The 15931-nt window shown below is 39.2% G+C and overlaps 1 protein-coding gene and 1 long non-coding RNA gene across 57 annotated transcripts in view; one reads left to right on the forward strand and one right to left on the reverse strand.

Moving 5' to 3' along the window:
• Window positions 1–15931, forward strand: part of MBNL2 (muscleblind like splicing regulator 2) — a 252287-nt gene that overhangs the window by 128998 nt on the left and 107358 nt on the right. For 53 of the 55 annotated variants that reach the window (NM_001382649.1, NM_001382675.1, NM_001382656.1 and 50 more), the window contains one exon: window positions 4801–5578. The exons of the other annotated variants lie outside the window; for them this stretch is intronic. In NM_001382649.1, coding sequence (NP_001369578.1) covers window positions 5405–5578 — 174 coding nt within the window. In that variant the 5' untranslated portion in view covers window positions 4801–5404. The remainder of the gene's footprint in view (window positions 1–4800; window positions 5579–15931) is intronic. 55 annotated transcript variants of the gene reach the window in all.
• Window positions 1–15931, reverse strand: part of LOC101927385 (uncharacterized) — a 55360-nt gene that overhangs the window by 27978 nt on the left and 11451 nt on the right. Inside the window, exon 3 of one of the 2 annotated variants that reach the window (XR_001749966.2) lies at window positions 8066–8262. This is a non-coding gene — a long non-coding RNA (uncharacterized LOC101927385). Of the gene's footprint in view, window positions 1–7605; window positions 8263–15931 lie in introns of those variants that run through there. The other variant, XR_007063843.1, reaches the window with a different exon arrangement.

The raw sequence follows: 15931 nt of genomic DNA on the forward strand, positions 1-15931 counted from the left end.
TTTGGTAGAACCATCTAACCTAGCTCAAGTGGCTCTCTCCCTTTTCCCCACATCTGCCTGCCTGTACCCACTCCTTGGTACAGGTGCCTATGCTAACAGTAGCCGTATAGCTTTTTGGAAAGGAACAGAGAACAAGCTGGGAGAAAGAGTGGATTCATGAGAGGCTATGATAACAGTATGTTGTACCTGTGATATAATGCACACCTCTTTCCTTCTGAAACATCTTTGCTGTACAAGTGACTCTGGCCATCAGAAAGCTTGGGTACACCTGCTCTTTTTTGTTTTTTTTTTTTTGTTTTTTTTTTTTGAGACAGAGGCTCTCTGTGTTGCCCAGGCTGGAGTGCAGTGGCGCGAGCTCACTGCAATCTCCACCTCCTAGGTTCAAGCAATTCTCATGCCTCAGCCTCCCAAGTAGCTGGGATTACAGGCGTGTGCCAGGCTAATTTTTGTATTTTTAGTAGAGACAGGGTTTCGCCATGTTGGCCAGGCTGGTATCAAACTCCTGGCCTCAAGTGATCTGCCCATCTTGGCCTCCCAAAGTGCTAGGATGACAGGCGTGAGCCACTGCACCCAGCCTACTCCACTTTTTAAGATTTATTTATTTATTTATTTCTAAAAAAAAACAAACAAAAAACAAAACAAAAAAAAACAGGATACATGTGCAGAATGTGCAGGTGTGTCACATAGGTATACGTGTGCCACGGTGGTTTGCTGCACCTATTGACCTGTCCTCTAAGTTCCCTCCCCTCACCCCGTAAACCCCCAGCAGGCTCTCGTATGTGATGTTCCCCTCTCTGTGTCCATGTGTTCTCAGTGTTTAACTTCTACTTATGAGTGAGAACATGCCGTATTTGGTTTTCTGTTCCTGTGTTAGTTTAATGAGGATGATAGCTTCCAGCTTTATCCATGTCCCTGCAAAGGACATGATCTCATTCCGCTGCATAGTATTCCATGTTGTATATGTACCACATTTTCTTTATCCAGCCTATTATTGATGGGCATTTGGGTTGATTTCATGTCTTTGCTATTGTAAATAGTGCTGCAATAAACATAGGTGTGCATGTGTCTTTACAGTAGAATGATTTATATTCCTTTGGGTATATATACCCAGTAATGAGATTTTTGGGTCAAATGGTGTTTCTGGTTCTAGATCCTTGAGGAATCACCATACTGTCTTCCACAATGGTTGAACTAATTTACATTCCCACCAACAGTATAAAAGCATTCCTATTTCTCCACAGCCTCGCCAGCATCTATTGTTTCCTGACTTTTTAATAATCACCATTCTGACTGGCATGAGATGGTATCTCATTGTGGTTTTGATTTGCATTTCTCTGATGATCAGTGATGTTGAGTTTTTTTTCATGTTTGTTGGCTGCGTAAATGTCTTCTTTTGAGAAGTGTCTGTTCATATCCATTGCCCTTTTCATATCCTTTGTATGTTCATATCAGTTTTTGATGGGATTGTTTGTTTTTTTCTTGTAAATTTGTTTAAGTTCCTTGTAAATTCTGGATATTAGACCTTTGTCAAATGGGTGGGTTGCAAAAATTTTCTCCCATTCTGTAGGTTGCCCGTTCACTCTAATGATAGTTTCTTTCGCTGTGCAGAAGCTCTTTAGTTTAATTAGATCCCATTTATCAATTTTGGCTTTTGTTGCAATTGCTTTTGGTCATGAAGTCTTTCTGCATGCCTATGTCCTGAATGGTATTGCCTAGGTTTTCTTCTAGGGTTTTTTATGGTTTGGGTTTTAAATTTAAGTCTTTAATCCATCTTGAGTTAATTTTTGTATAAGGTGTAAGGCAGGCCATCCCTGCTTTTAAAAGCAAGTTTATCTTAAAGACAAATAGGGTGTGATCTCACTTAGAGGTTCTAAGTGTTCTCACAACTAAAAAATGCTAAGTATGCATATGTTAATTAGCTCAATTTAGCTATTCTACAATGCATACGTATTTCAAAATATCATTTGTATATAATAATCCTATACAGTTTTTGTCAATTCAAATAAATACTTAATTTTAAGCAAGTGTATCTTGGTAGAGTCTGATCATCTGAATTCTGGTGGGATTTTCATAGTAAGTTGAAATGGAAATTCTCCCAGGGGGAAAAAATATATATTTCTTCCAGGGGGAATGAAAAAGGCTTCTTACCTATAAGTATGAATAAAAATGTACAGCATTCACTGAACTGCATTGGAAGCATAGCTCCTGGAGAACTTTTAGGAACATCTGAGTAATTATTCTTGCCATCTATGCAACAGTACCTATGTTTACCTCTTTCTTTTCCTCCATGGGAGCCCTTGGGAGAGACTCTGCTGCCTTTGAGGTTGAGCATCTACCTTGGGTCCTGGTACTGAGGACTTGGGGACTCTACGTAATATTTTTCAAACACTAAGTGTGTTCAGCCCATCATTTGAAATATCCTTGTCATTGGTGCCTCATCTCCCTTGATGCAGGCAGAAATATGTCCTTGTCCTTTGCTTTCCTCATCCTTTGTTCTCCATGGGAGCTAGAGGTGCAGGTTGAGGTAATAAAGATACAAGTCCAGGCTGGTCTATGAAACCCAACCCATATTAAATTTGGTTATTAAACTCATCTTCTTAAGCTCCCTAGCTTAGGCTAGCTGATATTAGCTTCTGTGAATGCAGCGTTGCCAAACAGACATGCAGGAGCCTGCCTGGACCCCTCAAATATTTTATAATTGAAGTTTGCTATGTGTCATAGCTTTCAAGATTGCCAACTTCCTTAAATGTGCATGCAATTATAACTCATGCAAACACTTTTATTAAAATGTAAAAGAATTATTGGGATGAAGTAGCAATTCCCACCAGTCCCAAGAGATGTCCTGCTTAAATAAATGTTCCATCATCAGATAAGCTTGAGACACCATTGAGGCTTCTCCCTTATAAGGGACCCATCAGACACAGCAGCCAAGAAAAGCCCTATTGCAGGCCGGACGCGGTGGCTCACGTCTGTTGTCTCAACATTTTGGGAGGCCAAGATGGGTGGATCACCTGAGGTGAGGAGTTTGAAAACAGCCTGGCCAAGATGGTGAAACCCCACCTCTACTAAAAATACAAAAATTATCTGGGCATGGTGGTGGGCACCAGTAATCCCAGCTACTCGGGAAGCTGAGGCAGGAGAATCACTTGAACTCAGGAGGCAGAGGTTGCAGTGACCCAAGATCACACCACTGCACTCCAGCCTGGGCAACAAGAGTGAAACTCCGTCTCAAAAAAAAGAAAAAAAATTAAAAAACTTAAAAAGCCCTAATGCAAGGAAGCTCGTCTGGCTTGATTTACCCAGAGTTAAATAAACTTAATTGATTTGGGGTCATACTTTTTAAGGGAACACTTGTGAACCACTTAAAAATTATTGGGCCGGGCACGGTGGCTCACGCCTGTAATCCCAGCACTTTGGAAGGTTGAGGTGGGCAGATCACCTGAGGTCAAGAGTTCGAAACCAGCCTGGTCAACATGGTGAAACCATGAAACCCTGTCTCTACTAAAAATACAAAAATTAGCCAGGCGTGGTGTCAGACACCTGTAGTCTCAGCTACTCAGGAGGCTGAGGCACAAGAACTGCTTGAACCCAGGAGGCAGAGGTTGCAGTGAGCCGAGTTCATGCTACTGCACTCTAGCCTGGGTGACAGGGTCCAGTGTGGGTGACAGAGAAAGACTCCATTTCAAAAAAAAAAAAATTATTGCTCTCTGAACTTATTTGTTACCTGCCAATTTAAAATAATCTACTTCCAGTCTTCATTAAGTTCTTCTTAGGTATAAATTTTTTAGAAAGACATCAAGGCTCAGCAGGTATGTAAGGTCATTTGTGGCATATCCTATTTATGAAAATAATCAACTTCTGGACTTTAGTCCTTTATTCATGCTTGTCCCAGTAACTGGAATTTAATGTTTAATGATTTCATAACCCTTGAAAAAGTTAAAAGAAACTGAAGGTGCTTATTTTAGACATCTGAACTTACTGACTATATTTTTGTTGTAGCCATGTGTTTTAACTCCAGCATTCCATACTACAGAGCGTTTTTAGATTATGACTCAGTTAAAAACTAAACTGAACTCAACTAAAACTAATTTACATTCCTGCACTTAGTCATCAGTTAAATTGGTCAATAAATATTTCTTGAGGGTCTAATATACGCCGTAGACTAAGGCACTGGGAATACAGAAATGAAAACTACAAAGAATAGTCTTTGCCCTGTGAATGTTGCAGTGTAAATAGGAAGATAAACATTAGGTAAGTCATGGTGGAGAGGAAGTATTAAGATACCTGAGAAAAAATATCAAGAGGATCCTACCTACCCATCTCCAAGTCCACATCTCTGTAAACTAGGAAGAACATAAAGAAGAAAGAGCCCACACTTCATTCAAAATGACAATATCTTTATTACATAGGAGGGACACATCCCAAATAATTGTTTATAGCATTCCCAACAATAAAATCAATGGCCTAAATGTGAAATTAATTGGAAGCCACAGTCCTAATACACTGTTTTGGCGATTAAGCACATTAGATGGGATTGTTTCAGAAGGCCTAATTATTGTGTCTGCCACACTCATCTGTTTGAGTCATTCCTAACTTTTGGACTGCTGCCTAGACAATTCTGCAATACGGTTTCCGTTGCATATTCTTTTTTTTATTTAATGCATAACTTTTCTCACTATACTCAAAGCTCAAAGCTCTAAACTGTGCTTTTGCAAATTCTAGATAAGAGTTCAATAGTTCGTTGAAGTGGTGATTCCATTGAGTTTGTGTAAAGGTTAATATTTCATTTCTGTTTTGCAGGTTTATCATTTAAAAGTGCCTGTGTGAAGTCACTTTTGCTGGAAAACTGCAGCTTGGGAGCTTTCTTTGTATTCACATCCCACTCTTCTGTCAAGTACACTTTACCCTGACCTTATGAGTGGATGAAGATACCTCAGTTGTCTGACTTTGCCAATTGCTTAATTTCAGAATTTAAAAAGGGGAAAGAAAAACATCCTGCTAAAATATGAACATCTGAGTGTCTTATTTTCCAACATCGTCAATAGCTGTGAGCGTCAGCATTAAATATTCTCCCAAGGAGTGCCATGATATTGAAGTCACTTTATTAATAACAGCTGTATCTGCAAAACAGTCAAGAGACTCGGACGTTGAAAGCCAGAGATGACACTGAGCATGCTTTTATTGCGGCCTACCATCTTTAAGTGGGACATATTGATTGATGAGTGATTGCCTGTCCATACACTCTCTCATCATCCTGTTCCTTGGATTGGACTTCACTAAGCAATTTATCACTCACCTTCAGACTTACATGTGGGAGTTTTCACAACAGTAGTTTTGGAATCATTAGAACTTGGATTGATTTCATCATTTAACAGAAACAAACAGCCCAAATTACTTTATCACCATGGCTTTGAACGTTGCCCCAGTCAGAGATACAAAATGGCTGACATTAGAAGTCTGCAGACAGTTTCAAAGAGGAACATGCTCACGCTCTGATGAAGAATGCAAATTTGCTCATCCCCCCAAAAGTTGTCAGGTTGAAAATGGAAGAGTAATTGCCTGCTTTGATTCCCTAAAGGTAAGAGAATGCGTTTTATGTGTCATTTCAATACCACATTGGAATTGCAAACAGAAGGCTTTTCATTGCATTTTTACAGAAGTTTAAAAATTGCTTTTAGATTCTATTTTCTTGTTTGTGGTGACTGTTGGGAGATTTTTCACTCAAATTTTTTCATATCAGGCATATATAAATTTTTTACATACCCATGTTTAAATTAAAAATACATGATGATGTATTTCTGGTCTGGCATGACATTCATGTACCCAAGAGTTTTAAATCAAAGTCTGGCTTGTGACAACTGAAGATAAATATTTTATCAACATTTGATCTTCTGGAGGTTATATAAAGGTGAAGAAATTGAATGTGTCACTTTTAAGTGCCAGTTATTCTGGCTTAGCTCTTGAAGAGTTTTCTATTCTTATGGCTTTTTTTTTTTTCCTTTGACCGAGTACTTCCTAAAACGCTTTTCTGAAAATGTGTCATGGCTAACAGAAATTATTAAGTACACGCTCAATACTCAATACTTGAGAATCTACTTCATGTGAGTTATATGACAAAAGAAACTAAAGTGATTCAGATGGCACCTTTGATGAGCTTACTGTCTGGCAGGGACAATTCAGCATATCAGCAAGTATCTACAATGCAAGAAGGGGACACATGCCTTGTGGGAGGAACAGACAGCAAAAACATTTCTATGGAGTCCATAGAAGAAAGCTGGTTTCCAACAGACTGTTTCAAGAAATGTTTTTGGAGATTCAAGGCATCTGAGTCATATACTGAGTTGGGTGGAGTTAGGAGGATGGAGAGAATTTAATGAAAGATCTAGAAGTGGCATGAGTTAACCGCTAATGCTGGGGGGTGTATTCAGCCCTAACATTATGAATCTGAGATTGTCTAGGGCGTTCCTACAGGCATAATAATATTGTTTTCAGGAGCAATAAGTAAGGCACATAGGTTAAAAGAGCTCAGTGTTTACATCTCTGCAAGACTTCAGCAAGGTTACCAAACAGTTAAGAAAATTGTTTATCAATGCTCTTGACATATGACTTGAGAAATTATAGAGCTGTTAGTTTACAAAATAGTGACCCTAGCCTATTCTTGGGTGTTAAAGAGACTGAGTTGTCCTTTGGGATAATTTTGTCTTAAGTAAAAAATTATGTCTCATAAGACATAAGTCAAAATTTATAATTTTGTAAGACTTCAAACTTATATTTAAGTTTTAATATATCTTAAAGGGAAATTTTGTCAATACACTCAAAGCAGGAAAATGTATTTCTGACCCAACAAAAGTCTTTTAAGGGTAAAATTTTGACAAATTAGATCTGTAATCTACATCAATACCTACTCCTATTTTATTCCTTTTTATCATAAAAGGTTTATTAGACTAGACTTTAAAATGATGAATTGTTTTGCCTAAAATGGAAATGAATAGATGGATAAATCACAATTCATATAAACTATAACAGTACAAGCATGGTTATATGTTAGTATTTATTTTGCCTTAGTCAAAAAAGTAAAACAAGTCTGTATTTGCCTCTACGATTATCAGCAATAGAAACATTCACTATGAAAAAGCAGTGTAGGCCGGGCATGGTGGCTCACACCTGTAATCCCAGCACTCTGGGAGGCTGAAGTGGGCGGATCACGAGATCAGGGGTTTGAGACCAGCCTGGCCAGCATGGTGAAACCCTATCTCTATTAAAAATACAAAAAATTAGCAGGGCATGGTGGTGCATGCCTGTAATCCAGCTACTTGAGAGGCTGAGGCAGGAGAATCACTTGAACCCAGGAGGCAGAGGTTGCAGTGAGCCAAGATTGCCCCACTGCACTCCAGCCTGGGTGATAGAGTGAGACTGTCTCAAAAAAAAAAAAAAAAAAAAAAAAAAGCAGTGTAGATTTAAAACTAGATCATAAAAGCTTCAAGATATGAAAACAGGTCAGTGATGATAAATTAATTTTTCAGGTCATCCCCAATTTTTCCATCTTATTAATCCAAACCTTCTCCAATTGGGTATTTAATATTAAACATCACAATTTTTGCCAGATTTTTAAAAACCTTATATTCTTTAATGTAATTCGAGAAATATGGGGAAAATAATTCCTGACTTATTAAGGCCAAGTATTTTGTGACTATCAACTGGGCAACAACGCCTAGATCCTTGTTATTCATCACATCACTTTGGATTCAAGTAATCCAGCCCCCAGAATAAAGGGTCATGAATCATTTGTTCAGCATAAAAACATAAGCCAAGTTGTGAGAATGTTGAACAGCATTCAAGTAAAAAAGGGCTTTAAAAATCATTTTCAGAAGTGCCTGCTGGAGCCTTTTTGAGGTGTTGAAGCATAGTTACATAGTGCCTCAAGTTATCAGTTCCCTTTCAGAATTGCAAAATTTCAGGTTATTTAATTTGAGTGCAACATTACACATTTTTAAAACTGTCCAACTGAAAAGAATGTGAAAACGGCCCACAGGCACAGGAGTAAAATAGACCTGAGTCTAAATACCTGCTCAACCACTTCCCAGCCTTGGGTGTGTCATTTATGACTTCTTGACTTGGTTTCCTCATCAGTAAAAGGAGGATATTCAGCAGAGAAATTGGCTGAAGTAAGCACGGTCTGTAGCAACACGCTGGCATATTCACATTACGAGGTTCTTGTGAGGATTGCAAGCTGTTTCCACAGGACAGACCAAAAAATAGTAGCTAAAAAGAAAAATAATGACAATGATAATTATGAAGCTGTTTAACTTTATTTCATAATAGATTTTAAAAAGACAATGTTGCTCAGTGTGCAACAGAGAGAACCAGTGTGCAATACAGAGAAGCAGCAAGGGCTTTGAAATCAGAAGGACCAGGGCTTGACTAAGCCTGGCTGGGACCTAGGCAAGCTTCATTACTTGGGACGAGTTATTTTACCTCGTTGGCTTCAGTTTTCTCTTATATAAAATCGATATAATTCCTACTTCATAAGGTTACTTCAAAGACTGCCTGACCTGTGGCATCCCACATAGTTAGTCCAGGACCGAACAAGTTAGGACCTGGCAATATTAGTTTCTTTCCCTTCATAATAAAGTATCCCAGGATAGTCACTGATTTTGATGACCAACTTTAAAGGCAAGATCTTGTGCCCAATTCTTAACAAGTCCAAACTTTCAAGAATTAACTGTGTGAATGATAGTACCTCAATTATACAAATTAGTCATGACAAGAAAAAAGATTTGGGGGACACAATATTTTTGTTATTTATTACAAGATATTTTGTGCAAACACTGTGGACAATTTATTTATAACTGCGAAAGGAATCTATGTTGGCCTATCAGTATGGGGACAAGTCAATCTGAGTCTTTTTTTATTGTTGTTATATGTTATTTACAAATATGAGTAAACTTTTCCGTAAGTATGTACTAAATTTGTTGGTGGAAAGTGATTTGCTGAGTTCTTTGGCATGAGAATTATACATATATAAATGCATTTGTAGAAGACATTTTGGAAAATATAGTACAGTTCTTACTGTGAAATTTGTGCATTATTCACATACCTCGTTGCATTTTATGTAAAACACTGAACATACAAGTGGCTGTGATTTTTTTGGAAGTTTCAGTATTATTATGAACAGTAGACATTGTTTAATGATTTTTCTGGAAGGCCAGGTCACATTCCAGAATGCTGTGTTCCACGAGTTAGGTTAACTTGACAAAATGCAAACTGTTTTATGAGCAATCATTTCCCTTGGAGCAGAGGCCTTGACCACATTAACCGTGTCTCTGATGCTTTTACGATCCATGAAACGCTTTCCCTCACAGCTAAAATGTTTGAGATTTTTGTTTCCAGATTCTTTTTCCTGTGATTGATAGGAATTAATCTGAACCATTTGGCAAATTGAACATCAAGAAGGGGGTGCATAAATTAACTTTAATGCTTATTAAGACTAAAAGTGTCAGTATTTACCACTTTCGGGAAGTATTTATTTGCTTAAACATTTGAATTCACACTCAGCTTTAAAAAGGGACACAATTTTAAAAATAGTATTGCTAATTTTGGTTGAAAACACTCAGAGTATGGGGGAAAATTGTTTAGACAATTTTTAGAAATTTAGACATAATCTTTTGTAATAAAAATTCATTTCAAGTACAGCGAGATCCTTTTTAACACCTGCATCAGATGATGTCACTGCTCTGTTCAGGATCTTCCAGTGGCTTCTCACCACACTCAGAGTAAAGAGCAACACTGCAAAGGCTGCCTAGGCCCTGTGAGATCTGCTTCCCCCTCCCGCCACCTGACTTCATTTCTATCGCCACCACTCCCTCCAACCCACTCCAGCCACGCATCTTTGCTCTCCCCTGAATATGCCAAGCAGGCTTTGCCTTAGGGCATCTGCACTTGCTCTTTCCTCTGTTTGGAATACTCTTGCCTCAGCCACACAAAGAGCATGTTTCCTGGTTTCCTTAAGGTTTCTGATTAAAAATGTCAGCTTGTGAATGAACCCTTTCTGCCAACTTATTTCAAATAGTAATGCTGCCATTGCTGGGATCCCATTTCCTTCTCACCTGGCTTTACTGCTCCCCCTAACACGAGCATTTGATATGAGAGATGCTTACTTGTTTATTGGTTGATTATCTGTCTCCCTCCTCCACTCTGCTAGAACATAAGCTCTATGTGGATAGGGACTATGTCTGTTGTGATCACTCTTGTATTCCTAGAACCTAGAACAGTGTCTCATACATAACAGATGCTCAATAAATATTTGTTGAATTGCATGTTCTCCATGTTCATCAGGAAAGTTTTCAAGCCTCTCAGATAGGGCTGCTGGATTTGATTGTACAGGGGTGCACTGCACTCTAGGGGTGCCTTTCTCATCACAGTCCATGTGATTGACACCCCCTGGAGTTGTGCAGTGGACAACCTGTACAGACATGTGCTATTGCCCTGGTGTCAGTATCTCAGTAGATTTCAAAATCAGGGAGTTCTGTGTAGGAATTTCAAGACTCTGGAAGTATAATACAACATTGACAAATTTTCAAGTAAATAATTTGATTTCCTCTTCAGGGTAATTCAAGCAGCATATGATGCAGAAACTACTTTTTTTCTACCCTCCTTGTCTGTCTAAATTTCAAAGATGTCAAGTGTAAGTTGCTCATTTACCTATGGGATGCTGTCTGTAATGTAGCTGATGGCAGTATGTAATTTGCCAAGACCTTAAGTTCATGTTCTTAAATTGCTGCTGGGCTCCTTAATAGCAGTGAATTCTTTGCAGAAATTGTTTGAGTATTTTCTAAGTTATTAATTTTGGCCTGATTTGCAAATATAATCTCAGACAAATTGTTTATTATCAATAGTAATCATTGTAGTAACATAGAGCCTACTATATGCCAGGTACTTTTCGTGCATTATCTATTCCAATAACTCTGTCAGGTAAACATGATTAAGTCACCCTTATAGATGTGGATACAGGTTCAAAAATTTAAGTAACTCACTTGTGACTACCAAACTCATGAATGGTGGAGAAGGGGCCTCACTCCAGGTAAGTGTGGCTCCCAGCCAGCACTATCCATTCCCTTCTCGTAACTGCTCTTACTGAATAAATCACTGATGTGGTTAATTTCAAAATTCTTAATAGCTTAATAATATTCATATGTAACAAGATTAGCATGTTGAGGTCCAAAAAAAAAAAACATTCTAGGCCAAGTGCAGTGGCTCACACCTGTAGTCCCAGCACTTTGGGAGGCAAAGGCAAGAGGATTCCTCCAGCCTTGGGAGATCAAGACCAGCCTGGGCAACATAGTGAGACCCCATCTCTACAGATAAATTTTAAAAATTAGCCAGTTCTGGTGGCATGCACTTTTGATTCCAGCTACTTGGGAGGCTGAGGCAGGAGGATTGATTTGGCCCAGGAGGTTGAGGTTGTAGTGAGCCATGATTGCACCACTGTACTCCAGCCTGGGGGACACAGCAAGACTTCATCTCAAGAAAAAAATAAATAAATAAAAAACCATTGTAAAATAGAAGCTCCCAGGAGTAAACCTGTTTAGATAGCAGAAATTTCAATCTTTAAAAGACAGAGACACTACAAGAGAAAGTAAGGCATATGTTGTATTTGTTTCTGTTTTTGTCTGTATATAAATATTATACCATCACCTACTAAATCTCTGTAACAAAAATGGTTTTTGTCCAAGGCATTGTTGGTGTGTGTGTGTGCCCATGTGATTTTGAAATGCTTAAGTCAGTTTTATAATGCAACGGAGTACAGGCAGGTTCATGCTTAAAGATTCTTGGACCCACCAGTTGTACTTCCTGAAAGCAAGCCCATCTCTCTTTCATTTGGCTTCAGCTGTTCTGGGTATATCAACCACTTCCCCTGTGCACCCTCTCTGGACACTATTCAGACTTCATGTCATAGTTTACTCCTGGAAATCCATGCCCAGTGAGAGCCCAGAAATCCCATCTGAAAGATGGGATTGTGTCTTACTTATTGTGCCCCAGCACCTAGCGTGGCATCTGGCACAGAGCAGAAGTGCAGTCATCCCCAGAGAATGCAGACATGAACAAAGAAACCCTTACAACTTTTCCAGTTGAACCTAGTGCTGCTCCATCAGTGATCTCCAGACCAAAACCTTCCTTTTATGTCGTTCACCATTTCCTTTAACATCTCCGTTTCATTTTGCAGATTTGGTCATTCGAGGAGGATTCTCTCCTGCTACTTTTTGCCTGTGTTGTTTTCCTAGTTCTTTCACCACGCTCACCGCCCTTCCTACTTTCCCTCTAATGCCACCTCTTCCTCCCCTTGCTCCCTCAGTGTGGATGCTCTCCAAGACTTAGGATCAGCCTTTCCTAGTTCAGGTTCAGTCATCAGCTCTGAAAGCTTATCTGCTTTCATGCATTCATTTCCCACCTCTGTGCCAATGAATTCCAAATCTGGGTGTGTGCCCTTGCTTGCCACCACCATGGCTGCAACTACCTACTGAACATCCCCATCTGAATGGCCCATTGTCACCTCCAGTGCCACATCTCTAAATCCAAACTCTTGCCTTCCTACTACAATCCACCCCCACCCCTGGGTGCCTTGTTCCCTGGGCACAAAACCTGACCACTATGGCCCAAACTCTTGGTCCTTTCTTTTTTGTTGTTGTTTTTCAGGTTGTAAGGAAGTATAATACCTTTAAGAATTAATCAAAACTAAGAAATCTTTACCCAGGAAAGTATCCATACTCACAGACTATTTCAAACAATCTGCAGGGTTTCATGTTTGCTTCTAAAAATTATCTATACATTGCAAGTTAAGAAATCTTCATCTTAAGAGAAGTCTGAAACATTTAAGAAGGCCTGAGGATCATTAAAAAAATCTTTGGGTTACTTTACAAATTTTCCCAGAGTCAAGAGTAGCACCAAATTCCTCCCAATACCCAAGATATTCTGTGCTAAGGAAGGAGAAACATGCAGCTTTCAGGATAAAAGCAGAACCGTGACTCCCTAAGAGCAAGTGGAATCAGTTTCAGTGCCTTCAGTGAGCAAAGGAGTGAGGATTTTCAGGGCATCAGGCACCTCCAAATGTCTCACTTAGGGATGGCACATATGCACCATAGAGAAAGCCCTTTATCTGGAGAGAGAAAGCCCCTTTCCTGGAGACAGCATCCTCCAGCAAGATGCCTACATTCTAGCCCAGTTTACAATTTAGAGTTAGACAGGATCATCTCTGTTTCAGTTTCCTAGGGCTGTCACAACAAAGTACCACAAACCGTGTGGTTTAAAACACCTGAAATGTGTTCTTTCTCAGATCTGGAGGTCAGAAGTCCAAAATCAAAGTGCTCTTGGTCCTTTCTTTTTTGTTGTTGTTTTTCAGATTGTAGGGAAGTATAATACCTTTAAGGGCCACGCTCCCTCTGAAGCCCCTGGGGTTGGGGAAGTTGGGGGAGAGGGGTGGAAACCAGTTCTTGCCTCTTTCGGCTTTTGGTAGCGCTGTGTGTTCCTTGGCTCATGGCAGCATCACTCCAATCTCTACCTGCCTCTTCAGATGGCCATCTTGCTGTGTGTCTCCCTTCACATCATCTTCCTGGTGTTTGAGTCTGTCGTCAAATTTCTCCTTCTTATAAGGACATCAGTTATTTTGGGTTAAGGCCCTGCCCTTCTTTGGTATGACCTCATCTTAAATTACATCTGCAACTACCCTATTTCTAAATAAAGTCACATTCTGAGGAACTGGGGGTTAGGACTTCAACATATATTTTGGGGGAACACAATTCAACCCATTAATATAATATATACACCTAGAAAACATCAGAAATTCAACACTGTAGTCTAAGTCAATTCTAATGATCGGATTTGGCAAGAGAGAGGAGGCTTGCAAAACTCCAGAAAGTCTTTGGTACTGAATCGAAGAAGGAATGATGACAAACTGGCGTTCCATGATTACAACATTCTTTGGTTAAAACATGTAAAAATAATTCATGGAGAAAAATAGCAACACTTATTTTCACCTATAAATGAATGGAGTACAATATCAATGTTTATTTTAATTGTAGTTTTTAATAGTTAGGTTTGTTTTTACTCATTTTGCTTTGGGCAGTGATGCTAACTTTTGTTAGTCGGTGTATCAGTTCTTATGAAACCATTTATTATTAAGGTGTAAGGAGAAAGAAAGAAATATTTATCATGTTACAGGATTTGTGTAATATTCTATTCTTTCTAAAAATGAAAATAGTCAGCATTTTGTCAGTACACTTCTTTCAGTCAAACTTTTATTTATATTTTAGGATTTTAAAAAATGACACAATAGGAAGCAAAGATTTAAAATAAAAAGCCCTGGCCTGGGAATCTGCATCTGAGCCCTGGCTTTGTCACATGTAACTTTATATCGTTTCACCTCTCTGGGATCCCAGTGTCTCACAAGCAAATGTTCTTTAGCTCACTCATTCATTCATTCGTTCTCTCTTAACTAAACAAAAGGGGGCAAATAAAAAGGAAGGTGATATGAACAAATGACTCAGCTCTCTGTGTTGGAGAGACGCAGGAATTGCTGGAGACAGCAGAAAATTAACTGAGGAGCTCATGACCCCTTTAACGACAGCAGCTGCCACTCAGCAATAGACAGCTGTTGCCTGCCTTGTGATAATCTGAATAATTAATTGTTCAACAGAAACAGAAATTCAAATTTTGATGTGATGTTTCCCAATTTCTGAATCTTGGCGATCAATTAAAATCTTTTTAAACCTTGGAGTCCAAATAAAACACATCTTCAGGATGGATTCAGCCAGTAGACTGCCATATTTAACCTCTGAAATAAACAAATACATATTGATCACGTGCTCCTAAACACTGGGAATATAACAGCATACATTGTTTCTTCCATCAATAGAGATCATTGAGGGCACAGTGAATTTATCAACTGCTCTTAATCATCCTTGGAAGACTGTATTCACACTGATTTGGTGATTCACTCTCATCTGGTTTTCACCTCACCTCATTGGCCACTCTTCTGTCTCCCTTCCTGAATCTTTTTCCTTCTGACCTCTAAATACTGGACTCTCTCCAGACTTAGTCCTTGAACATCTTCTCTACACATCCATGGTGGCACCTGACTCTTCTTAGAACTCACCAAACACGTTCTTGCCTTAAAGCCTTTGTGCTTGCTGGAGCAGCCACCAGAACACTTGGCCTGCCACATGTCTTTATCCAATCCAACGACCATAAACATTTCTAGATGCTAAATATTTCTTAATTTCTATCTCAGCCCTGATTTCTCTCCTTAACTCTAGTCTTATGTATTCAACTGCTTACCTGACATATCTACTTGGATATTTATTTAATGACATCTCAAATTTAATGTGTCCACTAACAACTTTTTAATTCCCCATTCAACCTACTGTTCTCATTGGACCCATTCTCAGTAGATGGTACAATTCCTTGGGTGGATCAGATCAAACACCTTGAAACCTGCCTTCATTCTCCTCTTGTCGTTGCTGCCATATCCAATCCATTATAAGTCCTGTTCTCTCAGTCTTCAAAACAGATCCTAAACTAGAGCACTTTTCATCACTTCTATCATGACCACCCCAGTCCAAACCACCATCGTGTCTCACATGGACTATTATAGTAGCCTACTAGCTCTCATTTCTGTACTCTAGCACTCAGCGATCCTTTTAAAACATAAGTCACAGCATGTCAGTCTCTTGCTCAAAATCTTCCAGTAGTTTCCATTTCATTTATGAAATTCAAAGTCCCTTAAGGACCTATGTGATGTGGCACCTGTTGCATTTCTGGCCCCACAGATCAGCCACCTGCTCCCCAGCCCCCCACACTGTGCTCCAGCCACATTGGCCTGTTTATTCTTCAGGGCCTTGGCACTGGCTGTTCCCTCCACCTGGAATGTTCTTCTTCC

Source organism: Homo sapiens, chromosome 13 (assembly GCF_000001405.40).
Source record: "Homo sapiens chromosome 13, GRCh38.p14 Primary Assembly".
NCBI classification, from domain to species: Eukaryota; Metazoa; Chordata; class Mammalia; order Primates; family Hominidae; genus Homo; species Homo sapiens.